General features: G+C 36.0%; 1 long non-coding RNA gene across 1 annotated transcript; it reads left to right on the forward strand.

The window, feature by feature from the left end:
- The first annotated feature begins 15650 nt into the window (after positions 1–15650).
- Positions 15651–20740, forward strand: LOC105374440 (uncharacterized). Its single transcript, XR_925278.4, has 3 exons — positions 15651–17248; positions 20453–20533; positions 20671–20740. It is a non-coding gene; the product is annotated as an uncharacterized LOC105374440 (long non-coding RNA).
- Positions 20741–27333: the final 6593 nt, after the last annotated feature.

Consider the following 27333-nt stretch of genomic DNA (forward strand, 5'->3'; position numbering starts at 1 on the left):
AGGAAACCCCAATGTATTATAAGATGGCTGAAAGCAAACTTGACCAATCTTTGCTCTGAAAGGAGACATTATTTTTATTATATTGCACAGAAAACAGACCTGCACTCTGCCTCAGAGGTAGATAATATCTCCATCTTCCATGGGTCCTTGCTATCCAAACATCCTTCAAAAGATAGTCCAGAAAAATATCTGCTAGTAACACTGCTTACAAGACATAGGGAAATATGAGAAAGTCATGGAGAATTTTATTCCAACAGTGTTCAGAAAGAAAACCACACAAAGAGTATTCAAACATAATTTTAACTATGGTAAACTTGTCTGCATTGCAAAAAATTTATCATTGTAAAAAAATGTATAGTCACCAGTAGCTTGCAGCACATGTATATGCTATTTAAGTACCTGAGTGGAAAAACTATTTTATATATGATGTAGCTAGTCTAAACTGGGCTCTCCCAAATTGCTCAACCAAAAACAGACAAAGTGTTCTTATGTGCACCCTCAGCAAGGGAACAAGCTCTCTTCATCCATTGGGGTTGTAATAGTAAAATACCTGAGACTAGGTAATTTATATAAAATATAAATTTATGCTGGAGTTCTGGAGGTTTGGAAGTCTATGATCAAGATGCCAGCAACGTTGGTGTCTGGTAAGGACCTGGTCTCTTCTTCCAAGATGGTGTACTGTTGTTGCTATATCTTCTGGAGGGAAGGAATGGCACATCATCACGTAAGAAACAGTGGAAGAGCAGCAGAGGCTAACTCTCCCTGAAGCCTGTTTTAGGAGGCCATTAATCAATTTATGAGGTCTCTGCCCTTTTGACTTAATTACTACTCAGAAGGTCCCTCCTCTTTAAACTGCTGCATTGGGAATTACATTTTGACATGAATTTGGAGGGGACACCATCGTTCAAACCATAATGCAATCCCAGCCAACCTTCTTGTGAGAATTCCATTCTGTCCCTTCTAACCACGCCCATCTCTTCTACTTGGAGTTTTACTATGTATAGCTAGATTAAAGGTCCTGTTACTTGTGGGGAATAGTGAGGAGGCTACAAATGGAGGCAACACGTGTTTTAAAATTCCTACCATATATCATATTGAGACAATTTACAAGGTTGTTGGAAATGATATACAGAAAACCAAAACAGTAGAAATTTTAGAATTATAACTCATAGTCTTTTCACTGAGCTCGGAAAAGACAATTCAGCTGTTTGTAACATATGGTAAATACTGTTAGCAAAAGAATAAATAGCTATAGATTTCTTACTGTGAATCTCTGTATTGTAGCTAATAGCAGATTTTTCAGAATTAATCAGGCATTAAAATTAAGTTCCATGATGACTTTTGGTGTTTACTCAGCTATTTGGAGTGATGTTTAATCTTGCTATTCTTTTTCTCCACTTTTTAGCACTGCATTACATAAATTGTAATTATTGCTTCCTCATTTCATCTTCCTTTCTGACTTGACCACTAAGCTAATGTCACATAGTTTAGACTTTTTGTTATAAAGTAACTCAAATTAAAATTTAAATTTATGGACAGGCATTGTGGGTAATGCCTATAATTCCAGGATTTGGGGAGGCAAAGGCAGGAGAATCGTTTCAGGCCAGGAGTTCAAGACACGCTTGGGCAATATAGCAAGACCTTGTCTCAAGTAAAACTACAAAAAATTACCCGGACTACAGGGATGTGCCTGTAGTCCCAGCTACTGTGGAGGCTGAGGAGGGAGAGTTACTTGAGCCCTGGAGTTCAAGCTTGTGGTGATCTATGATTGTGCCATGGCACTCCAGCCTGGGCAACAGCCTGGGCAACTTTATCTCAAAAAAACATTAAATTTCTGTAAATTAATGAAATATGACTGGATAAAGAAATGGAATTACTATATTTTTGAAGGCTAACATGAAAGCTGTGGAAAGACACAATAATGGAAGTCACTAAAAAGAAATTGCTCTCAAATTAGGATTAGGTGAGCCAAATATATATAATTATAAATAAAAGAATGGAAAACAGCTAAAAAAGAGTTTACACTTATATTACTTATGACTAACTTTAAGTTGTGTTCTAGGTTTAAAAAAGTATATACAGAAAACTAAAGATTTTTAAAAGTTTGTATATGTTTATCAATAATAAGACACTAAACTATAGTCAGCAGATCTATATGTGAGATCTAAGCATTAGTCAGATATCACAAGGTTGGCAAAAGAATAACTCTATCTATTGATTCATCAATCTGTTGCCTATCATCTGTTTTTATGTCATCGTATTTCTATCTATGTTTTTTAATTGCCCATTTTAGCCAACATTTTCAAGTAAGTGACAAATCTCAGTGATATAATGTATGGGGGCTTCCTCTCCAGAGCTGGTAGCTGCTTGCATGGATGCTCTTCTGCTCCTTCAGAGGTTTTTGCATATGCCTATTCTAAGTCAGTCTGTGCTGATTAAAGATAATTTAATTAAAGATAATTTAATTTCCCCTGAATTTTTCAGGAGAGAGAGAGCCCCTTCACATACAGGTGGTCAAACTGGGTAGGTGTATAGTTGTTTGTTTTTATTAGTTTGCTTTTGTTTTTTCACTTATGATTGAGTTATGAGCATTTATTCCTAGCATTAAGTCTTACAGAAGTGTGATTTCGAGGGGCATTGTATGGCATTTCATCAAATATAGGCTCTTTTAAATTTACTTTAGTGCCCAAATTTTGTACATTTTGGTTACTGATATGGTTTCATTCTATGTCCCCACCCAAATCTCATCCTGTAGCTCCCATAATTCCCATGTGTTGTGGAAGGGACCCAGTGGGAGATGATTGAATCATGAGGGTGAGTCTTTCTTGTATTGTTCTCGTGACAGTGAAGGGGTCTCATGAGATCATAGTCTTAAAAATGAGAGTTTCCCTGCACAAGCTCTTTCTTTGCCTGCTGCCATCCATATAAGATGTGACTTGGTGCTCCTTGCCTTCCACCATGATTATGAGGCCTACCCAGCCATATGGAACTGTAAGTACAATAAACCTCTTTATTTTGTAAATTGCCCAGTCCAGAAAGAAAGTCCACTGTCTTTATCAGCAGTGTGAAAATGGACTAATACAGTTATCAAACATTTTTAATTCTAATAATTTAAACTTGGCAGAGATCTGCTATGATAATACTTTGTGCTTATTGTGCAATTTATCCTTTGGATAAATTACTAGAAGTGGAACTTCTATATAAAAAAGTATGAACAATTCCAAGGCTTTGCTATCTGTAGCTAAAGTACTTTACAGAGCTTATTCCAATTTACATTCCCTTCAGCTAACTTATTGCTTCCTATTTAACAATAAATATTGACATTTTAAGTTTTATCAAATTGCTAGGTAAAAATAGTGTTGTGCTACTTTAACGCATATTTGGTTCCAAGGGGGACATATCCCCCATATGTTTATTGATTGGTTTTTGTTTCTTTTTTGTGAGTTGACTGAACTCAGTACATCCTTCCAAGAGATATTAATTGTGGTTGATTTTATTTACTACAAATACTTTACCCACCTTGTTTACTTTTTAATTTTGTCTGTGGTGTCTTCAGGTGCACAATACACCAACAAAAATAGAATTATAAAAATTTTATTGCTACCGTTAAGTATCTTTATTTATTTTTTTAAAGAGAAAACATTTAAATGATTAAAGGGCATCCTTGTAACTAAGAGTAAGTACATCAAAAAATTACTTGATTAGAGTTTATGAGTTTTAAATCCTGTCATTAAAAAGTTGAAAAAAAGAATGACATTATGGCTTTGCTATAATAAGATGCTGCTTTTATAATGTAAAATATGGTTACTCACTTGAAAAATAAACTCAAGAGAATAAATTTATTTATTTATTTTGTCATTTATTCATCCAGGCAAATCCCAAATGGTGAAGTTGCAATAATATTATTGGTATGGGGTTGGAATACATCTTTTAGCTGTCTGTGTGATTTTTCTGAAAGATAATGTTTCTTTAGAGAAGGACATATTAAAAACATTTTTCCAAAGAAGAAAAAATAAAAGAAGAAAAAAATATTGTAGCATTTCATATACATCTAAATGAAGTGTGATATATATTTGCCAATTATCTAAAAGCAAATCTCAGCAAAAATGCAATAACTTTCATTACAAGAACAAAATGTGAAATATAATTTGTGTGTGTGTGTGTGTGTGTGTGTGTGTGTGTAGTGTTATACAGAGCAAAGCATATATATTTTAATATGCTTTAAAGGCTGAAGACATTTTTAAAGCATCAACCATGGAAATGAAATTAATTGAAAAAAAGAGATAGAGAGACTGAAACCCAGAAGAGGAATTAAAATAATCACTGAAAGCTACTAAAATTTTAATACAGCAGGTTTTTTTTTTAAAAATTAATTTTTGTGTGTACATAGTAGGTATATATATTTGTGGGGTATATAAGATATTTTAATAAAGGCATGCAATGTGAAATAATCACATCATGGAGAATGGGGTATTCATCCCCTCAATTCTTTGTGTTACAAGCAATCCAACTACACTCTTTCAGTTATTTTTAAATGTACAAGTAAGTTATTATTGACTGTAGTCACCGTCTTGTGCAATCAAACAATATGCCTTGTTCATTCTTTCTATTTTTTTGTACCCATTCAGTACACCCACCTCCTCCCCCTCCCCCCACTACTCTTCCTAGCCTCTAGTAATGATCCTTCTACTTTCTATGTCCATGAGTTCAATTGTTTTGATTTTTAGATCCTACCAATAAGTGAGAACATGTGACATTTGTCTTTCTGTAGTTGCCTGATTTCACTTAACATAATGATCTCCAGTTCCATCCATGTTGTTGCAAATGACTGGATGTCATTCTTTTTTATGGCTGAATAGTACTCAGTTGTGTATAAGTACCACATTTTCAACATCTATTCATCTGTTGATGGACACTTAGGTTGCTTCTAAATCTTAGCTATTGTGACCAGTGCTACAACAAACAAGGGAGTGCAGATATCTCTTCAATATACTGATTTCCTTTCTTTTGGGTATGTATCCAGCAGTGGGATTGCTGGATCATATGGTATCTATTTTTACTTTTTTGTGAGAAAGCTTCAAGCTGTTCTCCACAGTAGTTGTACTAATTTATATTTCCACCAACAGTGTATAAGGATTCCCTTTTCTTCACATCCTCACTAGCATTTGTTATTGCCTGTAGTTTGGATATAAGCCATTTTAACCCAGAGTGAGATGATATCTCATTGCAGTTTTGATTTGCATTTCTCTGATGATCGATGATATTGAGCACCTTTTCATATATTTGTCATTTGTAAGTCTTCTTTTGAGAAATGTCTATTCAAATCTTTTGCCTATGTTCTGATCAGATTACAAGATTTTTTTCTCCTGTAGAGTTGTTTGAGCTCCTTATATATTCTGGTTATTAATCCCTTGTCCAGATGGGTAGTTTGCAAATACTCTCTCCCATTCTGTAGGTTGTCTCTTCACTTTCATGATTGTTTCCTTTGCTATGCAGAAGCTTTGTGACTTGGTATGAGCCCATTTGTCCATGTTTACTTTGGTTGCCTGTGTTTGTGGGGTATTATTCAAGAACTTTTTGCCCAGACCAATGTCCTGGAGCTTTTCCCCAATTTTTTCCTGTAGTGGTTTCATAGTTTTATGTCTTAGATTTAAGTCTTTAATCCATTTTGACTTGGTTTTTATGCACTGTGAGAGAGAGGGGTCTAGTTTCTTTCTTCTGCATATGGACATTCAGTTTTCCCAGAACCATTTATTGAAGAGACTGTCTTTTCCACAGAGTATGTTCTCGACAACTTTGTTGAAAATGAATTCATTGTGTGTGGATTTGTTTCTGGGTTCTCTATTCTGTTCCATTGGTCCATGTGTTTGTTTTTAATGCCATAGCAGAAGATTTTAAAAAGCATATTTTAAAACATTTATTTTTAAATTTTATGGATACATAGTTGTGCATGTTTATAGGATACATGTGATGTTTTGAAACAAATATGCAATGTGTAATTACTGAGTCTGGGTAATTGGAATATCATAATCTCAAAAATTTATCATTTATTTTGTGTTGGGAATATTCTAAATCTTGTCTAGCTATTTTGGAATATACAATAAATGATTGTTAACAATAGTTACTCTATTGTACTACCAAACCCTGGAACTTATTTTTGCTATTTAGCTCTATTTTTGTACCCATGAAAACCAACCCCTCTTCATCTCCCCTGCCCACTACTCCTTCCAGCCTCTGGTAACCACGATGCTGTTCACTATTACCATGAGATCTATTTTAAAAAGAGGATTTTTAAAAATAAGATATTTTTCCTATATTCAAATGGAAGCTGACAAGAAGTTACTGTGAGCCATATTTTTATTTCAAATGAGGAAGTATTTTAAAAATTCTTTTCTAACAACTTTTTGAATGTTTAGTTTCTTCTTAAGTGGCCTGACCCCATTCTTTGCTTTTGCACTGTTCTTGAATTTTCTTTCCCTAACAAGATGTTTTACTTGCAAATGCATTATATTTTACTTAAATTGGAGTCTGCTATCATCTCTTATCTTGTGGCATCATATCTTGCTCTGCCTTACTCCTGTTTCAATAGTTTGGCATGAAACAACTGCTACAAACTGACAATTGATTTGTTTTGGGAGCTTCTGGGGCAGGTGCAGAAAGACGTAAGTTTGAAAACATAAAAAAGAGATGCCTGTTGGAAGTTCATTTACTTGCAAATGAAATAGAAAAATTGGATTCGGGGAAGAGGCAGAGAAAAAGGTCAACCTAAAAATAAATAATTGGCTTTCAGAAAATTGATAATTGGGTGAATTTGACTTGTACTTCTTAAAAAAATGAGATATAATTTACAGAAGGAGAAATGCACTGATCTTATATATACAGATTGATAAATGTTCACAGACAGGTATCCTACACCCTAGTTGAAATATAAAATATTGTAATAAGCCTGGAAGGTTATCTCACATCCACTTCTACTCCATCTCCACCTTTCCAGTAATTTCTATTCTTATTTTTATAGCCCTAGATTAGTTTTGCCTATTCTTGAATTTTACATAAATAAATTATTCAGTATAACTTATTTTGCATGTATTTCTTTTCTATAACAACATTTTACCATTTATTAATGTTATTGTATGTAGGGGTTCAGTCAGGATGGTGGGAAAAATTATAAAATAAATACAAACTTCTTGGAAGGCCTGAGGTTTTTGCAAATGCCTTAAGATAAAATTATGGCTGAAGGCAGCCTAATCGTCTTTGAGCTATAGCAAGGATAATTAACACAGGAATGTAGAGGAGTCTATCTAAATAGCTTGTTTAATCATGTGGTCTTAAGACTAACCTTTGGCCATCCGCGGGTGCATGATTGCTCTCTACTCTGGGGGGATCGGCAATGGTAATTACCTCTAGTGGTGTTTACTTGAGAGCTTTTGTCATGTAATGTATACTGAAAAAATGCTGGGAAGGCCAGTGAGTCGGGGCCCCAGCTGCTACTCTTTACAGCACTCTCCTTGGAGTCTGTAAGTGGCCTGGATGCTCAGCTGGACTGACAAGCATAATATCTGTGTCAGTGTACGTTATTCATCTGTTATTGGGTCAGTGTCTGCGGGATGGACCACCCCCCCCACAAAGCTGGTGCCCTGTGTGAGGAGCACTGCGAAGGGAGCATGATGGACCCCCCAAAAACGAAGGTGAAAAGGACTGTGCAGGTCAGTGAGTCAGTAAGTCACTGATGCCCAGTCAGGATTTCCAAGTTTGGCGGGGGATTGTTCAGGCTGAAGTTTCATCATGGGACAACAGTCATCAGCTCAACAAAAACAGTATATAAAAATATTGAAACAGCTGCTTAAGGCTAGTGGAGCCTCAGTTTCACAGTCTTAATTAAGGGACCTAATGCAAACTGTTGTAAACCATAGTCCATACGTAGAGCTCTGAGAACAAGTTAGGGAGAAACCTTTTTTTTTTTTTTTTTTTTTTTTTGAGATGGAGTCTTGCTCTGTGCCCAGTGGCACCATCTCAGCTCATTGCAAGCTCCGCCTCCCGGTTTCACACCATTCTCCTGCCTCAGCCTACTGAGTAGCTGGGACTACAGGTGCCCACCACCATGCCCGGCTAATTTTTTGTATTTTTAGTAGAGGCAGGGTTTCACAGTGTTAGCCAGGATGATCTTGATCTCCTGACCTCGTGATCTGCCCACCCTGGCCTCCAACACAGGCATGAGCTACTGCACGCAGCCAGGAGAAATCTTAAACAACATTATGCACAAGGGCAACGGGTCCCAGTAACAGCTCTAACACTATGGGCTTTAGTTAGAGCTGCTCCGGTTCCATTACACACAGAAGAACCTAAAAAGTGGAAGGAGGAGGAACTGTCACCTGCCTTACCGCCTCCTCTTCCCTCAGGCCCAATATCACGGGCCAAAATAACAAAGAGGAAACGGAGATTTTACATGAGCCCCCTCCTCCAATAAATAGGAAAAAGGACAAGAGACATGCTCCAGCTATGGGACCTTGTCTTAAGGATGCAGCATTAAAAGGGGAGCTCTTAGCTTGCCCAGTAATGCAAGATTGGCAAAGCAATCAGGCATGCTATCTATGTCAGTGTGTGTCTTTGGTTCAGGGTCTGAAGGATGGACCCAGGCAATTGTGTGTGCGTATATATGTATATTTTATAACTGAGTAGTACTCCATTGTATAGATATCACCAAATTGTTTAGCTGTTGGTTTGGTTGCCACCAAATGAATTTGATGATCAACTTTCCCTTTTCTGACCCTCAAAAAAGTCATTGGAGTTTTGATAAAGATGGTATTGAATCTAGAAATTAATTTGGGGAGTATTGCCAGCTTAACAGTATTGATCCATGATCATGGAATGGTTGTTTATTTGGCTATTCTTTTATTTCTTTCAATAATATTTCATACTTGTTAATGTACAAATCTTGCCCTACTTTTATTAAATATACACCTATTTTATTGTTTTTGATGCTATTGTAAATAGTATTGCTTTATTAATTTTGTCTTTTTTTCTAGTATATAGAAATACAATTGATTTTATTATATTTAACTTGTATCTTGCAATGTGCTGAACTCATTTATTAGTTCTAATAGTTTTTTGGTGGAGTTAAGATTTTTTATATACAAGAATGTGTCATCTGTGAAACAAGATAGTTTTACTACTTTCTTTCAAATCTGGTTAACTTTTATTTCTTTTTATTGCTTAATTTACCTGGGAACATCCTTAGGCACAATGTTTAATAAAATTGTTGAGAGTTGGCATGCTTGTTCCTGATTTTATGAAGAAATATTTCAGACTTTCAACATTAAATATGATATTAGCTGAGCATGTTTAATAGGCACCCTTTATCAAATTTAGGAAGTTTCTTTGTCTTCCTACTCTGGCTGAGATTTTTTATCATAAAGAGTTGTTGAATTTGTCCAATTCTCTATTAAAATGGTCATGTGCTTTTTTTTTCTTTCATTAATATGGCATATGACATGGATTTATTTTCTCATGTATCTTAGTCCATTTTGTGCTGATAAACCACAACTGGGTAATTTACAAAACCCAGAAATTTATATTTTCACAGTTCAGGAGTTTGGGAAGTCCAAAATCCAAGAGCTGACATTTGGTAAAAGCCTTTTTGCTGGGTCCTCTGGAAGAAAGGAATACTGGGTCCCCACATGACAAAGTGGGAGGTAAGGAAACAATAAGGGGCCAAACTTGCCCTTTTATAATGGTATTAATCCCACTCAAGAGAAGAAAGAGCTCATGGCCCTATTACCTCCCAAAGGTACCATTTTTCAACACTGCCACAAGGCAAACAACTTTCAACATGAGTTTTGGAGGGGACAAACATTCAAACCATAGCAACATGTTTTACATTAACATTGCATTCCTGGGATACATCCTAATTGTTCATGGTGCATGACCCTTTCTAGGTTGCTGAATTGTTGCTACTATTTTGTTGAGAATTTTTGTGTACATATTCCTCAAAAAATACTGGTTTGTAGTTTCCTTTTTGTAATATTTTCATCTGGTTTGAACACTGCCTCCTTAAAATGACTTGAGAAGTGTTCATTCATCTTCTGCTCTTTGAAAGAGTTTAATATTGGTGTTAATTTAAAAATATTTGGCAGGATATACCAGTGAAGTTGTGTGTTCCTGTGCTTTTCCTTTTGAGATATTTAAAAATTAGTAATTCAACCTATTTGGTCATTGTAGGTTTATTTGGATTTTTTATACCTTTTGGGGTTAGTTTTTATAGTTTGTGAATTTACAGAAATCTGTTCATTTCATCTAGGTATCTAATTTGTTCATATACATTTATTTAATAATCCATTTTAATATTTTTTATTTTCATAAACTTGGTAGAAATTATTCCTCTTTTAATACTGATTTTAATAATGGGACTCTTTTTCTTGTTCAGTCTGGTTACATGTTTGTCTTTTTTGTTGTTTTTCTTTTAACATAACACATTATTGGTTTTGTCTATTTTCTGTATTGTTTTTATATTCTATATTCCATTAATTTCCACTATAATTCATACTATTTTCTCCCATTGTATTGCATTGATTTAGTTTGCTCTTGTTTCTAGTTTCTTAAAGTGGAACATTAGGTTGTTTATTTGAAATTTTTCTTCTTTTATTACATAGGTGTTTACAGCTATAACTGAGCAACTGAGCACTACTTTAGCTGCATTCCATAAATTTTACTATGTTGTTTTGTTTTCATTTATCTCAAAATATTTTCAATTTTCCTTGTGATTTTTTGGCCCATTGGTTAGGGATGTGTTGTTTGCCACATATTTGTGAATTTTCCAAATGGCCTTCTATAATTGATTTTTAATTTCATTTCATTAAGATAGGAGAAACCACTCTCTCCATTTACAATAATTTTAAATTTATTGAGTCTTGTTTCATAGCCTAGCATATAGTTTATCCTGAGGAATGTTTCGAGTGCACATGAGAAGTATAAGTATTCTGGGGTTGTCAGGTGGAGTGCTTTATAGATGTCCGTTAGGTCTTATTAGCTTATGATAATTTTCAAATCTTATCTCTGTTATTTGGATAGTTGTTCTATCCTATATTGAAAATGGGGTATTGAATGCTCCAACTACCATTGTTGAACTGACTATTTCTCCCTTCAATTCTGTCAGTTTTTGCTTCATGTATTTTGGGATTCTGTTATATATATAATATATATACATATATAATATATATATAGTTATAATTGTTTGCTGATACGTTGGCCATTTTATAATTATAAAATGTCCTCTGCTTTTCAACATTTTTTGTCTTGAAGTCTGTGTTGTCTGATATTATTATAGCCACATTAACTCTCTTTTGGTCACTGTTTGCATAGTATGCCTTTTCCTGTCATTTAACTTTCAGTCTATTTTTGTCTTCAACTGAAGTGTATCTCTCTTAGAAAGTATACTGTTGACTCTTTTTTTTCCTATTCATTCTGCCAGTCTCTGCCTTCTGATTGGAATGTTTATCCATTTACATTTAACATGATTACTAATTATATAAGTTTTATTTTTTCTTTGTTGTTTCTCTATTCCTCCATTATTGCTCCCTTTTGTGTTAAGTAGATACTTTTAATAATACTACTTTCATCCTTGTATTGTCTCTTTGATTATATTTCAGGAAATATTGTTTATACATTGTCTTGGAATTTGTAGTTGACTGGACTTGAAACAATATTTTTCAGATTAATACCAACTTAATTTCAATAATATATAAAACCACATATATGTGTGTATGCCTGTATGCATATATTTCTATTTCTTTCTCCTTTTTTGTGCTATTATTTATACAAATTATATTCTTATACATTATAAGCCAATGCCAATTAGCATCATTTTACAATTATTGCTTGTTGAAGTTGTGTTTTAAGTCATATAGCAGAGAAAAAGAGTTTCAAACAGAAATACGTTTATACCGTCTTTTATATTTACCGATGTAGTTACCTTTACTGGTGCTATTTATTTATTTGTGAGGATTCAAGTTATGGCCTAGTGTCCTTTTCCACTCTCTCCTATTTTATTTTTCTGGAATACTTAAATTTATTTTTAAAGGATAAGTTTGCTGAATGTAGAATTTTCAGTTAACACTCATTTTCTTTCAGTACTTTGAATAAGTCATCTCACTACTTTCTGGCCTTTACAGTTTTTAATAAATCTATTGTTACCTGATTGAGGATTTCTTCCACATGATAATTCACTCCTTTTGACATTTTCATTATGATGTGTCAATGTGTGAGTCTCTGGGTTTATTCTACTTGTAGTTTATTAAATTAAACTTCTTGGATGTGTAGGTTACACTTTTTCATGAAATTTGGGGTGCTTTTAGACACTGTTTCTTCAAATATTCTTTGTCTTTTTCTTTCTCTCTCTTGTCCTTCTGATACTTCCATAATACATTTGTTGATAGCCTTGTTCATGTCTCACATGTCTCTGTAGCTATGCTCTTTTCCATATTCATTTTCTTTCTGTTTCATATGGTTTGGATCTGTGTTGCCACCGAAATCCCATATTCAATTGCAATCCCCAATGTTGGAGATGAGTTCTGGTTGGAGGCGATTGGATCATGGGGGTGGTTTCTCACAGTTTAACACCATCCCCGCTTGGTGGTGTCATCACTATAATGAGTTATTGTGAGATCTGATTGTTTAGAAGTGTGTGGCACTGGCCAGGCAAGGTGGTTTATGCCTGTATTCCTGGCACTTTGGAAGGCCAAGGCTGGTAGATCACAAGGTCAAGAGATCGAGACCATCCTGGCCAACATGGTGAAACCCCATCTCTACTAAAAAAAAAATACAAAAATTAGCTGGGTTTGGTGGTGTGTGCCTGTAATCCCAGCTACTCAGGCAGCTGAGGGAGGAGAATGGCATGAACCTGAGAGGTGGAGATTGCAGTGAGCTGAGATTGCACCACTGTACTCCAGCCTGGTGACAGAGTGAGACTCTGTTTCAAAACAAAACAAAACAAAACAAAACAAAACAAAACAAAAGAGTGGCACCTCCTACCTCTCTCTCTTGGTCCTACTCCTGCCATGTAAAACATCTGCTCCCACTTTGCCTTCCACCATGAGTAAAAGCACTTTGAGGACTACCCAGAAGCAGATGCTGCCATGGTTCCTGTACAGCCTGCAGAACTTTGAGCCAATTAAACCTCTTTTCTTTATAAATTACCCAATCTCAGGCATTTCTTTATAGTTGCATGAGAACAGACTAATACAGAAAATTGGTACTGAAGAGTAGGACATTGCTATAAAGATATCTGAAAATGTAGAAGTGACTTTGGAACTGGGTCACAGGCAGAAATTGGAAAAGTGTGGAGGGCCCAGAAGACAAGAAGATGAGGGAAAATTTAGAACTTCTTAGAGACTTGTTAAATTGCTGTGATCAAAATGCTGGTATTGACATGGACAATGAATTTCAGGCTGAGGAGATTTCAGATGGAGATGAGATACTTATTGGGAAGTGGAGCAGACATCACTTTTGTTATGCTATAGCAAAGAACTTGGAGGAATTGTGCCCCTGCTCTAGGGATACGTGGAAATTTGACCATGACAGCGATGAGTTAGGGTATCTGGTAGAAGAAATTTATAAGCAGAAAAGTGGTCAAGATGTTGCCTGACTGCTTCTAATAGTCTATTCCCATATGTGTGAGCAAATCAATGATGTAAAACTGCAAGTTATATTTAAAGGGGAAGTAGAGCATAAAAGCTGGAAAAATTTTCTGCCTGGACATGCAGTATAGAAGGAAAACCCATTTTCTGGGGAAGAATTCAAGCAGGATGCAGAAATTTGCATGAGTTAAGAGGAGCCAAATGTTAATAACCAAGGGGATGAGGGAAAGGCCTCAAAGGCATTTCAGAGACCTTTGCAGCAGCCCCTCTCATCACAGGCCTGGAGGCCTAGGAGGACTGAATGGTTTTCTGGGTGAGGCCCAGAGCCCTACTTTCCAGTGCAGCCTCAAGACACTGATCCCTGCATTCCAGCCACTCCAGTTCTAGTCATGGCTATAAGGGATCCAGTTACAGCTTGGACTGCTGCTTCAGAGAGTGCAAGCCATAAGCCTTGGCAGCTTTCATGTGTTGTTAAGCCTGTGGGTGCACAGCATGGAAGAGTTGAGGCTTGGGAGCCTCCACCTACATTTCAGAGGATGTATGAAAAAGCCTGGTTGTCCAGTCAGCAGTCTGCTGCAGGGGCAGAGCCCTTATGGAAAACCTCTACTAGGGCAGTGCAGAGGGGAAATGTGGGATTGAAGCCCCCACACTGAGTCCCCACTGGGGCACTGCCTCATGGAGCCGTGAGATGTAGAGCACTATCCTCCAGTCCCTGGAATGGTAGAGCCACCAACAGCTTGCATCGCATGCCTGGAAAAGCTGCAGGCTCTCAGTGACAGCCCATGAGAGCAACTGTGGGAGCTGAACCCTGGAAAGCCACAGGGCTAGTACTGGTTAAGACCTTGGGAGCCCACCCTTTGCATCAGCATGGCTGGGATGTGAGAAATGAAGTCAAATGATATTATTTTGGATATTTAGGATTTAATGACTGCCCTGCTGGGTTTCAGACTTGCATGGGGCCTGTAGCCCCTTGCTTTTGGTACATTTCTGCCTTTTGCAAAGGGAATATTTATCCAATTCCTGTACCTCATTCATATCTTGAGGTAACTAACCTTTTTTTTATTTTACAGGCTCATAGATAAGAAGGGACTTGCCTTGTTTCAGATGAGACTTTGGACTTTTGAGTTAAGACTTTAGGGGACTGTTGGGAAGGCATGACTGTTTTGCAATTTGAGAAGGACATGATATTTGGGAGGGGCTGCGGTGGAATGATATGGTTTGGATCTGTGTCCCCATCCATATTTCATGTTCAGTTGTAATCTCCAGTGTTGGAGGTGGGGCCTGGTGGGAGGTAATTGGATCATGGGGGCAGTTTCTTATGGTTTAACACCATTCCCCCTTGGTGATGTCATTGTGACATTGAGTTCTTATAAGATCTGGTTGTTTAAAAGTGTGTGGCACTCCCCCCTCTCTCTCAATCCTGCTCTTGCCATGTAAGACGCCTGCTCTCACTTTGCCTTCCATCATGAGTAAAAGCTCCCTGAGGCCTCCCCAGAAGCAGATGCCACCATGTTTCCTGTACAGCCTGTGGCCATGAGCCCATTAAACTTCTTTTTATATAAATTACCCAGTCTTAGGTATTTCTTTATAGCAGTGTGAGAATGGACTAATACAACTAGATAATCTCAACTAACCTATCTTTCTATTTCTAGTAAAATAGATACTAGTTTGCTATTTCTTTCTTCCACCAGCTCAACTCTTCTGTTGAGCCCCACTAGTAAATTTTCATTTCAAAATAAAATTTCAAAATTTTATTATGCTTTTCAACTCCAGAATTTTTGTTTGTTTTTTTAAATAATTTCTATATTTTATTGATTTTCCTTATTATGACATTGTTCTTATACATATCTTTAATTCTTTAGACATGGTTTTTATTAGTACTTGAAAAATATGTTTATATATGTGTACACACATACAGATGTATATCTAACTCATTAAAAGTCTCTGTCTAGTGAACCAACATCCGAGCTTCTTCAGGCATATCTTCTAGTGAATGTATTTTTGCTTATACATAGGCCATACTTTTCTCTTTCTTTGTATGCCACAATATTTTTGTGGAAAACTAGATATTTTAAATTGCATAATATGAAAAATGTTGACATCAGAATTCCTCACTTTCATATTTGTTGTTGTTGCTATGTTGTAACACAGTGTGTGTCAGTGTATGCCTTCAAGATTTCATTGATTAACAACTCTACCTTAGTCTTCACATCCTGCTTTGTAGAGTCTCATCATCAGCCAGAGGTGAGAGATTATGGCCTTTCCTACTGTTCCTGGGCAAGCACATTGCCCTGCACATGTTCATGGCCTTCTAGATCTCTAGATGTATGTCTTCCTAAGAACATTTTATTCCCCATATTCCTTAAAGATTTAGAACTTTAAGACCTAAAGTTTTTGGTTAGTTTCTGTTTGTTTGTTCCAATTGGTATTGCTGCCCTAATCGGCTGTGATAAACAGTTACCACTGATTGTTTCTGACAAATGTCTTGGGTATAGAGCTTATACCACTGAGTGAATACTGAATTACATAAAACAAAAACAAGCTCTGTGAATGAGAATTCTCTAGGGAGCTGCCAAACATGCCAAACAGTAACAATATTTGTATGTAAGTCTTAGGGGGATGATCTAGTGCCCTCTCCAGTAGCTGCTAGATTGTTGAGTTTTACAGCTACTGTTGTTGCAAGACTGATTATTTTGAAGGATATTGCAGAGCTGTGGCAAGGGGGATGCAAATAGAGAAAATTAACATGCCACAAAACTGGCTGTCGTTATGAAGACTCAGCTATTTTTCTTCAAAAAAATGCTCCTTGTAATGTTGCAAGCCTTTGGTAATTTCTAGAATGTAAAAAAAGTTGATTTTGACCATTTTTTGGGCAAGTGTTTTTTGTGCTTATGTTGGAGCTGACTTATTTTGTTATTCCAGAACTCTTGCGTGATGGTCTTTTAACTGGAATGCCTACTTATTACTCTTTTCCCCTCACAATACAGTCTTGATAGAGAAGCCTAAGAGAACTAGTAAAAGTATAAATCAGATCATATCACTACTCTGACAAAAAACTTTTGAATTGGTATTTCTTAATGTTTAGAATTAAATTTAAGTTTCTGATTATGGTCTACAAACCATTTTGGCTTAAGAGACTTTATAAGTGAGGTTCAAAAGCAGCAAAAAGGTAGCAAAAAGAGCATGGGGAATTACTTTGAAGCTGATATCTATACAAATCACATTTCATTTTAGGGGGAGGTGGAGTGTTGCTTTTGTTTGCTACTGACAATTGTAGTGATACAACTCTCTTATCTGTTGGATTATCTTGGCTCCTAACTGGACTTTTATTGCATCATCTCTTTCCCCTTAGAAACTACAAATTGCTGATTTCTGAAAGCCTGTTCTTCCCTATTACATTATTCTCCTCTCATTAGTTGTCTGTTTACTTTTACATCTGAATTTTAATCTATTGTTGTAGACAAGGAGCTGTGCAACTCCATTCCCCCTTCAACGAAGGAATTATTGCCCAACCCTGAAGATGGTAGCCAACCAAGAATTTCCTACATTCAGTTCCTTTGGGCCAGGCTCAGTTGCAGGGAGGAAACGTCACTGAGGTTGTGCATTCACAACCCATGGTAATCATTTACCCTGAATTATATATTAATTTATCCTGACTATATAATTGGGATTTAGATGCTTGTAAGATGGCACTATTGCATTTTTGGTCCTTGGAGTGCAGGGCAATGGCCTAATGAAAGCTTCTGAATATGCCCTCTCTGCCTTCAGCCAAGATAATAAATTTAAAAAAATAGTGCACAGTGAAAAACTGGGCATAGATGGAGAGTATAGAGTTACTATTAAGAATCTAAAAAATGAAGGGATGGTGATATTTATCACATATAATATTAACTTACCAGTTTGGCCACTACAGAAACTAGATGTATCCTGTAGAATGACTCTGCATTACAGCAAGCTCAAGTAAATAGTAGCTCTAACTACAACTACCGTGCCAAAGAAAGTATCTTTGCTAGAATGATTAATATGGCCTCAGGTATATAGTTATTCTCCAGGACTATGTTAATTCTCTTTTCACAATGTAGTCTAAAGAGATATGGACCATTTTTTATATCCTGAAGACTATTACATTGATTCATTGCATCAATAATATGTAGATCTGGCTGGATGAGCAAGAGATGGCTAGTCTTGCTGCAGGCTCAGTAAGACAAATTTGCTCCAGAGAGTAGGAAATAAACCCTAAAAGATTTGGGGGCTGACCACTTGAGTAAAATTTTAGAGGTTCAGTGGCCAGAGGCTGCCAGTACATCCTTGTCCAAAGTCAAAGTTAAATTATTACATATTGCTTCTTATTCTGCCATGACTAAGAAAGCACAGTGCTTTGTGGGCTACTTTATGCTCTGGAGACAGCTTATTTAACACCTAGGGATACTGCTTTGCCTGGATGCTGAGTGACAAAACAAATTTTAAAAGTTGCTATCTTTGAGTATGGATGGAGCAGGAAAGAGCTCTGAGCAGACTGAGGCTGTGATATAAGCAGTATTTCTTTTTGAACTATGCAATCTGTTGGAACCTACATGTTGGAAGTATCAGTGATAGGAAATGGGACCATGTTGATTTTGTGTGAAGCACAAGAGAGGTTCCTGGGGTAATGGAGAAATGCCATAAAACCAGGGAATATTATGTCTTTTGAAAAATAACTCTTGACAAGCTACCAGGCCTGACCATGGGACTGCAAGTGACCATGTGGACAGAACTATCATGAGCTAGGTCCTGTAAGTGTTACTAAGCCATAGTCAGATAATACCAACAGTAACCCTATTATAAGATGAAAGTGTGATATCCAGGATTGAGCACAAACAGGTTCAGAGGACACAAGAAATTTGCATAAACAGGTAGTTGAGGTCCCTATGGCTCCCACAAGTAATAGTACAAGCATTTCTTTCTCAGCTCATTTCTATGGCTGTATGACATACTGTAGGACTAAAATTTAAAAAAATGAAAAATTTCTGAGTTTGGCTTCCAGATGGGTCAGCTTGGTATGTAAGTATAGGCCAAATATGGATACCAGCTATGCTATAACCTTACTCAAGGATGCCTTGAAAAACTGTGGTACAGAAAAAATCTTTCCAATGGAGAGAGTGATTGTGATGTATCCAGGCCTTGACTTAGTATGAAAAGAGAAGTGACCCAAGGTTAGAATGCACACACACATTCATGGAAAAAGATTGGAAGATCATGGACAAGAAGATGTGGGATAAATGTATGTGGTTGAACATATGGGAGTGAATGAAGTTTGAGGATCTTTGTATTTCACATAATAACCACCAGCGAATATCAACAATTGAGGAGGCACTAAACAACCAAGTACACAAAATGGCCTAGCCAATTGTCATTAGCCAGACTCTTTCAACAACTACTCCAATGTTGGCAAAATAGGCTCATAGATGAAGTGGCCACAGTGTCCATTTCATAGTGATATAGGAACTGTGCCTAGGCCCAAAACTGTGAACTCCCACTTACAACACGTGATCAAGCTTAGCCTTTGAATTTCCTACCTACTAGCAACAGACTAATTCTGAAACCCCAATAAGAACCATTTCTTCAGGAGACCAACCTGCCACTTGATAGAAAGTTGATTATATCAGGACCCTCTGTTCCAGAATAGCCAGTGTTTTTTTACACAGACATGTTGATTATTGGTTTTCTTTTTTTGTCAATAGAATTTTGATCAGCACATTGTCCAGAGACTTAGAGAGTATTTAATTCATTGGCTTGTGGTACCACATAAAATTGTGTCAGACCAGATAAACTATTTTACAGCAAAGGGGTTGTGGAAATGGGCCCATTACTGTGAGAGCTATTGCTAATATTACATGCCATGTCACTCCAAGTTGCTGGCCTGAGAGAGCATTGAAACAGCCTGTTTCAATGGGACCTCAGGGACCTCAACAGCTGCTCATAGGGACCTCAACAGCTGGTGTGCTAACTTGGCAGCAATATTCTGCAAGAAAAGGCACTATAGTCTAGGTTGCATTGTACACATTTACATAAAGACCTGTATGTAGTGCATGCCTTCTATGGAAGGAATGCATGAGTTCAGAAACCAAGGTATAGGAAGAGGAATGGTACCTCATACCATTAATTTCAGGGACTGATGAAGAATTTGCGTATCTTCTCCTTACAACTCTGAGTTCTGCATAGCTACAAGTCCTGATTACCAAAGGGGGAACATTTTCACCAGTGGTACAAAAATAGTTCCATTGAATCATAAGCTATCACTGCTGCCTGGGCAGTTTGAGCTCTGTTTCTCTGGGAACCAGCAGGCAAAAATAAGGTTATCATCTGTTCAGATTGCTGTTTCACAATACAGAGAGGAATATAAATAAAATCAGGTAATCTACTTGAGTTCCTCCTATGGTCTACTTGTGTCAACCCAAAATTCATATATTGAAACCCTAATACTCAATGTGAGGGCATTTGAACATGGGGCCTTTGGGAGGTAATTAGGTCATCAAGACAGAACCCTCATGCTGGGATAAGTACACTTATAAGAACAGGCAGAAGAGAGCTTACATCCTTTCTCTCTGCTCTCAGCCATGTGAGAATATAATAAGAAGTTAGCTGTCTGTGAACCAATAATTGGGCCCTCACCAGACACAAGGTTTTCTGGCACTTTTATCTTGGACTTCCCAGCCACCAGAACTGTTAGAAATGAGTATGTTGCTTATGCTACACAATCTATGCTATTTTTGTTATAGTAGACTGGACTAAGACAATGTCTCTTGGTTCTTTCTTGCTTTATTGTGACTATAAATGGACAGCAATAGAAATCTCAGCTGGAGAAAAGCACAGTGATCATGGTTCAGGGATTTCAGAGACGAGTGTTTGCTTCATACCATCAGGTAAGCTTCCAAGGTCAGCAGAGTTGGTAGCTGATGGTGAGGGAATTCTAGAATGGATAGTGGAGAAGAAAGACGACGAGAATCAATTGCCTTCCTAAGGTTAACTTTCACTCCCTCCCTCTTCCATTTTCCTTCAGAAAAAGAGGCCTGCAGCAATCCTGGAGAGGCTGTCACTCTAATGTTTATGGAAAAGTCAGTAGAAGCAGCCTCCAGACCTCAGCTTCTTCAGGATTTGCCTTAGTTGCCCAAAGCTGTTTCACTCCAAGTCACAACATTCCTTTGGAAGCCCACAACTGATGACTGAGGGTTAGATATCTAAGGCCTGTCCATTTTAGCCTGACATCAAATACCCTGACAGGTAGTATTCCCTTTAGAGGTGTTCACCAGGTTGGCCAAGACTTTGTTAGGTCTGCATTGCAGTTAAACTTCTTCCCCTGTTCACTTCTACTTGCTATATCTTTCACAGACTCATGGATTTTTGTAGTGTATTTTTAATCAAATTATTTTGTAGAAAGGGACTCTGAAAAAAAATAAAAACTTTTGTTTGTGGCCCTGTGTATGTACCCTAGAGGCAGTCACTACGGGACATAACCTGTGCAGTCCATTTCTTGGATAGTCGTCTTACTCTATACTCAATTCTGCTGGAGAACACTGGCCTCTGATTCCTTCTCTCATACCAATGACCCCTCACTGCTCGCTTAGTGTGCCAATAATATTCACTATTAATTTCTAGAAATGAAAGGCTTTATATAACAAAATATAACAAGCTGATCTTGACTGTAACTAGTTTTGACAATTGATACATTTCTTTTGTGTACTCAGAGAGATGCTGTTCACCTCTTTTTTGTTTCCTGAGACAACTTATATTACTTTCTTGGCAAGCATTTAGAACACCTGCACATAAACCACAGGTGAAATACAGAATAGAGCCCTCTATATTAATTTTCTTGGTAGCAATTAGTTGTACTGGTGTTTGTTCTCAGAAAGCTTCTGAACTACTGCTCAAAGCCAGCTCAATTTTGATGAAGGAGACTGATTTCTTAGCAATATTTTCAATCTTTGTACCCCATGCTGATAGCAGCTGGATCAGAAATACACTCAGCATTGCTTTCGTGCTTGACAGTTATAGTTGTGACCATGTTAATTACCATCCTGTCTAACAGCACAATGGGGACACTGTATAGCTCTGAGAGTGATTATAGTCTTGCCTTCTGCAGAAAGACTTTCTTGGAAATCATGAGTAATTTGTAATTAAAGAAGACGTTCCAATCATCCTTGGTAAATATATCTTTTTTCTAGAATAAAATTGTTTCACTTTCATTTTGGTTAGGTATTTTGCAAGTTAGGTATATCTGGGAATGGGATCCCAAGGGTCTCTTGTTCTGTAGTCTGTGACAGTTAAACATGAGAAAATGCCTTATTATAAAATGTGCCTTGTTTTATAATAAAAATGTAAAATTAATTTGTTTTACATTTAAATAAAGATTATTTTATATATGTAAAAGTTTTATAATAAGGCACAATGTGCATAATTATATAACATATAGTATAATTATTTATACTAAGATTTATATGCATGAAATATATAAAATAATATATATTTAAATGTAAAATAAAGTAATTTATATTTTCATTTTTAAAATATATTCTGTTTAGGAGTGTACAAAAAATTATAACCCAATGAATTGTAAAGTGCAAAATGAACAACCATAAAATCACCATGTAGGTCAAGAAATAAAACATGCCACCACCACAAAATTCCCCCTCATGTCCAGTACTGATCATGTCCAAACACTGATTCACCACCCCAGCCTCCAAAGTAAACATGCTTCTGACTTTTATAATATATGCTTTTTTCTTTGCAGTTTTTTCACTGAAGCACAGATCTCTAATCATTACACTATAGTTTCATCTGTTGTCAAACTTCATATAAATCAAATCATACAGTAAATGATTCATTTTATCTGCTTCTTTTGATCAATGTTTATGTTTAGTGAGACTCATCCATGTTGTTGCTTGTAGCAGTTTGTTCACCTTCATTGATTCATAGTATTCTATTGTTTTATTATTGCACAAATTGTTATCCATTTTGTTTTATTTTTTTAATTGATGCATAATAGATGTACATAATTTTGGGATATATGTGATAATTTAATACATTCATATAGTTGGTAAAGATCAAATCTGTGTACTTGGGATATCCATTACCTTAAATGTTTGACTTTTCTTTATACCAGAACCATTTGAATTCTATTTCAAAATTGTATTCAAATTCAAAAGGCTACTTTGTAATGTATAATAGATGACTGCAAATTATATTAACTCTACTGATCTATCTAACGCTAGTTCTTATTTCTTCAATTGGATGGCTCGTTTGTACCCATTTAGCAACTTCTCTTGATCTTCCTCTTTTTTAATGTTGGTAGACATTTGGGCTTTCTCCAGTTTGAAATGTTTGTAAATAATATGCAGTTTTGTGTACATCTTTTGCTGCACGTGTCCACATCTTTCTTGGTTATATAGATGGGAGTGGAATTTCTATTATAGCATGTGCGTATTTTCAATATTAGTAGTTTACTCCAAACTCTTCTCAAAATGGTTGTCCCAGTTTATAATTGCACCAGCATTGTGTGATAGTTTCTGTTAATCTATATCCCTGTTAAAATGTTTCAGTCTCAATTTTAGTCATTAATGGGTTTCTAGTGGTATTTCTTTGGGATTTTCATTTCAGTTCTCTGATTACTTCTAAGATTAAAATATTTTCATGTATTTATTTGCCATTAGGACTGTCCTTTTTATGAAGTAACTGTTTAACTGTCTTGCTTATTTTGGCTAGCTTTTTATTTTTGATTTGTAGAATTCTTTATATATTCATATATGTGTGTGATATTTTCTTCCGTACATTGGCTTGCCTTTATCTCCCTTGATTATATCTTTTGAAGGCTATAAGTTTTTAATTTTCATGTAGTCCAATTAAAAAATTTTTCTGGTTTAGTGTTTTTTGTGTTTTGTTTAAAAAGCTTTATCCTACTCCAAGGTCATAAAGATATTCTCTTATAATACATTCTGAAAATTTCTAGTTTTGTCTTTTACATTTACACCTATATTATACTTAGTTTTGATATTTATTTATGATGTGACACGAGTACATTTAATTTTTTCCAATATTTTTTCCAGTTGTTTTAGTGATAATTCTTTTGTCTTTGTCTGTCTGAATAGTATTTTGACTATTCTGAGTCTGTTACATTCAATTTAAATTTTAAGATAATTTGTAAAGATAGACACACACTACCACACTCCACACCCACACATCCTGTTGTAACTTTAATGACCTTTTGAGAAGTTTTAGAAGAATTGAAGGATTTATTTCTTCATAATATCAAGTCTTTCCAAAATAAACGTTATACCCCTACATTTATATAAGTATTTATTAGTTTCTTTCAATAATGTTTTATTGTTTTCAATGTAGAAACCTTATACATCTGGTCTAGATTTACTATATTACATAATTTTGATGCCACGGTAAATAGTATGTCCTTTAACATTTTTATTTTCTAGTCAATTGTTATGGGAACTTTCAGAAATATAATCGATTATTTTTTGTTCATCTGTATTTTATTTTATTTGTTTAATTTCCAACTTTTAAGTTCAGGGGTACATGTGCAGGATGTGCGGGTTTGATACATAGGTAAATGTGTGCCATGGTTGTTTGCTGCACCAATCATCCCATCAGCTAGATATTAGGCCCAGCATCCGTTAGCTATTCTTATGATCCTGTCCCTCCTCCCACCCACCACCCTCTGACAGGCCCCAGTGTGTGTTGTTCCCCTACATGTGTCCATGGGTTTTCATCATTTAGATCCCACTTATACGTGAAAACATGCAGTATTTGGTTTTCTGTTCCTGTGTTAGTTTGCTAAGGATAATGGCCTCCACCTCTATCCATATCCCTGCAAACAGCATGATCTAGTTTCTTTTTATTGCTGCATAGTATTCCATGGTGTATATGTACCACATTTTATCCAGTCTCTCATTGATGGGCATTAGGTTTATTCCATGTTCTTGCTATTGTGAATAGTGCTGTAATGAACATACATGTACATGTGTCTTTTTAATTTGGGTGTAAAATAAAAAATTTATGGGTATATAAAATGATTTATATTCCTTTGGGTATATACCCAGTAATGACATTGCTGTGTCAAATAATATTTCTGTCTCTAGATCTTTGAAGAATTGCCACACTGTCTTGCACAATGATTGAACTAATTTACCCTCCCACTAACATTGTAAAAGCATTCCCTTTTATCCACAACCTCACCAGCATCTGTTGTTTTTCGATTTGTTAATAATAGCCATTCTGACTTATGTGAGGTATTTCATTGTGTTTTTGATTTTCATTTCTCTAATGGTCGGTTATATTGAGATTTTTTTCATGTTTCTTGGTTGTATATATATATATACATATATATGTGTATATATACATATATATGTATATTATATATGTACATATATAATATATATATGTATATATATTATATATATATGTATGTATGTATTTGAGAAATGTCTGTTCATGTCCTTTGCCCACTTTTTAATTTTTTTTTTCTTGTAAACTTGTTAAGTTCCTTATAGATGCTGGATATTAACTTTTGTCAGACGCAAAGTTGGAAAATTTTTTCTCTGACTCTGTAAGTTCTCTGTTTACTCTGTTGATAGTTTCTTTTGCTGTGCAGAAACTCTTTAGTTTAATCAATTTTTGTCAATTTTTGCCTTTGTTGCAATTGCTTTTGGTGTCTTTGTCATGAAATCTTTGCCTGTGACTGTGTCCTGAATGATATTATCTAGGTTTTCTTCTAGGGTTTTTACAGCTTTGGGTTTTCCCTTTAAGCCTTTAATCCATCTTGACCTGATTTTTGTATATGGTATAAAGAAGAGGTCCAGTTTCAATTTTCCTCATATTGCTAGAAAGTTTTACCAGCATTATTTATTAAATAGAGAAACCTTTTTCCAATGCTTGTTTTTGTCAGTCTTTTTGAAGATCAGATAGTTGTAGGTGTGCACTATTATTTCTGGGTTCTCTATCCTGTTCCATTGGCCTATGTGTCTGTTCCTATACCAGTACCATGCTGTTTTGTTTACTGTAGCCCTATAGTATAGATTTAAGTCAGTTGGCATGATGCCTCCAGCTTTGTTCTTTTTGTGTAGGATTATTCTTTTTGTGCCAATTGTGAATGGGATTGTATTCCTGATTTGGCTCTTGGCTTGACTGTTGTTGGTATATTAGAATGCTAGTGATTTTTGCACATTGATGTCGTACCCTGAAAGTTTTTTGAAGCTGCTTGTCAGCTTAAGAAGCTTTTGGGCTGAAACACAGTGATGGAGTTTTCTAGATATAGGAACATGCCAACTGATTTGACTTCCTCTCTTTCTATTTGAATACCCTTTATTTCTTTCTCTTGCCTGATTGCCCTGGCAGGAACTTCCAATACTCTATTGAATAGGATTGGTGAAAGAAGGCAACCTTGTCTTGTGCTGGATTTCAATGGGAATGCTTCCAGCTTTTGTCTCTACGGTATGATATTGGCTTTAGGTTTGTCATATATGTCTCTCATTATTTTGAGGTATGTTCCTTCAATATTTAGTTTATTGAAAGTTTTTAACATGAAGGGATGTTGCATTTTATTGAAGGCCTTTCTGCATTTATTGAGACAATCATGTGGTTTTTATCTTTATTTCTGTTTATGTGATGAATCACATTTATTGATTTGCGTATGTTGAACCAACCTTGCATCGTGGGAATGAAGCCTATTTAACTGTGGTGGATAAGCTTTTTGATGTGCTGCTGGATTCAGTTTACCAGTATGTTGTTGAGGATTTTTGCATCAATGTTCCTCAAGGCTATTGGCCCGAAGTTTTCTTTCTTTGTTGTATCTCTGCCAGCTTTTGGTACCAGGGTGATGCTGGCCTCATAGAATGAATGAGGGAGGAATCCCTCCTATTCAATTATTTGGAATAGTTTCAGTAGGAATGCTACCAGCTCTTCTTTGTACCTCTGGTGGAGTACAGCTGTGAATCTATCTGCTCCTGGGTTTTTTTTTTTTTTTTTTCTGATTGATAGGCTATTTATTACTGCCTCAATTTTCAGAACTTGTTATTGGTCTATTTAGGGATTCAATTTCTTCCTGGTTCAGTCCTGGGAGGGTGTATGTGTCTAGGAATTTATCCATTTTTTTAGATTTTCTAGTTTATGTGCAGAGATAATATTCTATGATGGTTGTTTATATTTCTGTGGGATCAGTGGTAATATCCACCTTATCATTTCTGATTGTATTTATTTGAATCTTATCTCTTTTCTTTTTATTATTCTAGCTAGTGGTCTATTTTATTAATTTTTTCAAAAAACCAGCCTTGGATTCATTAATTTTTTGGAGGGTTTTTCATGTCTCTATGTCCTTCAGTTTAGCTCTGATCTTGGTTATTTCTTGTCTTCTGCAAGCATTGGGGAGTGTTTGCTCTTGGTTGTCTAGTTTTTTGTTATGATGTTATGTTGTTAACTTGAGATCTTTCTAGCTTTTTGATGTGGCATTTAGTGCTATAAATTTCCCTCTTTGTTTTTTTGAGACAGAGTCTCAGTCTGTTGCCCAGGCTGGAGTGCAGTGGCATGATCTCAGCTCACTACAAGCTCCGCCTCCCTGATTCACTCCATTCTCCTGACTCAGCCTTCCGAGTAGCTGGGACTACAGGTGACCGCCACCACACCTGGCTAATTTTTTTGTATTTTTAGTAGAGATGGGGTTTCA

This window comes from Homo sapiens, chromosome 4, assembly GCF_000001405.40.
Source record: "Homo sapiens chromosome 4, GRCh38.p14 Primary Assembly".
NCBI classification, from domain to species: Eukaryota; Metazoa; Chordata; class Mammalia; order Primates; family Hominidae; genus Homo; species Homo sapiens.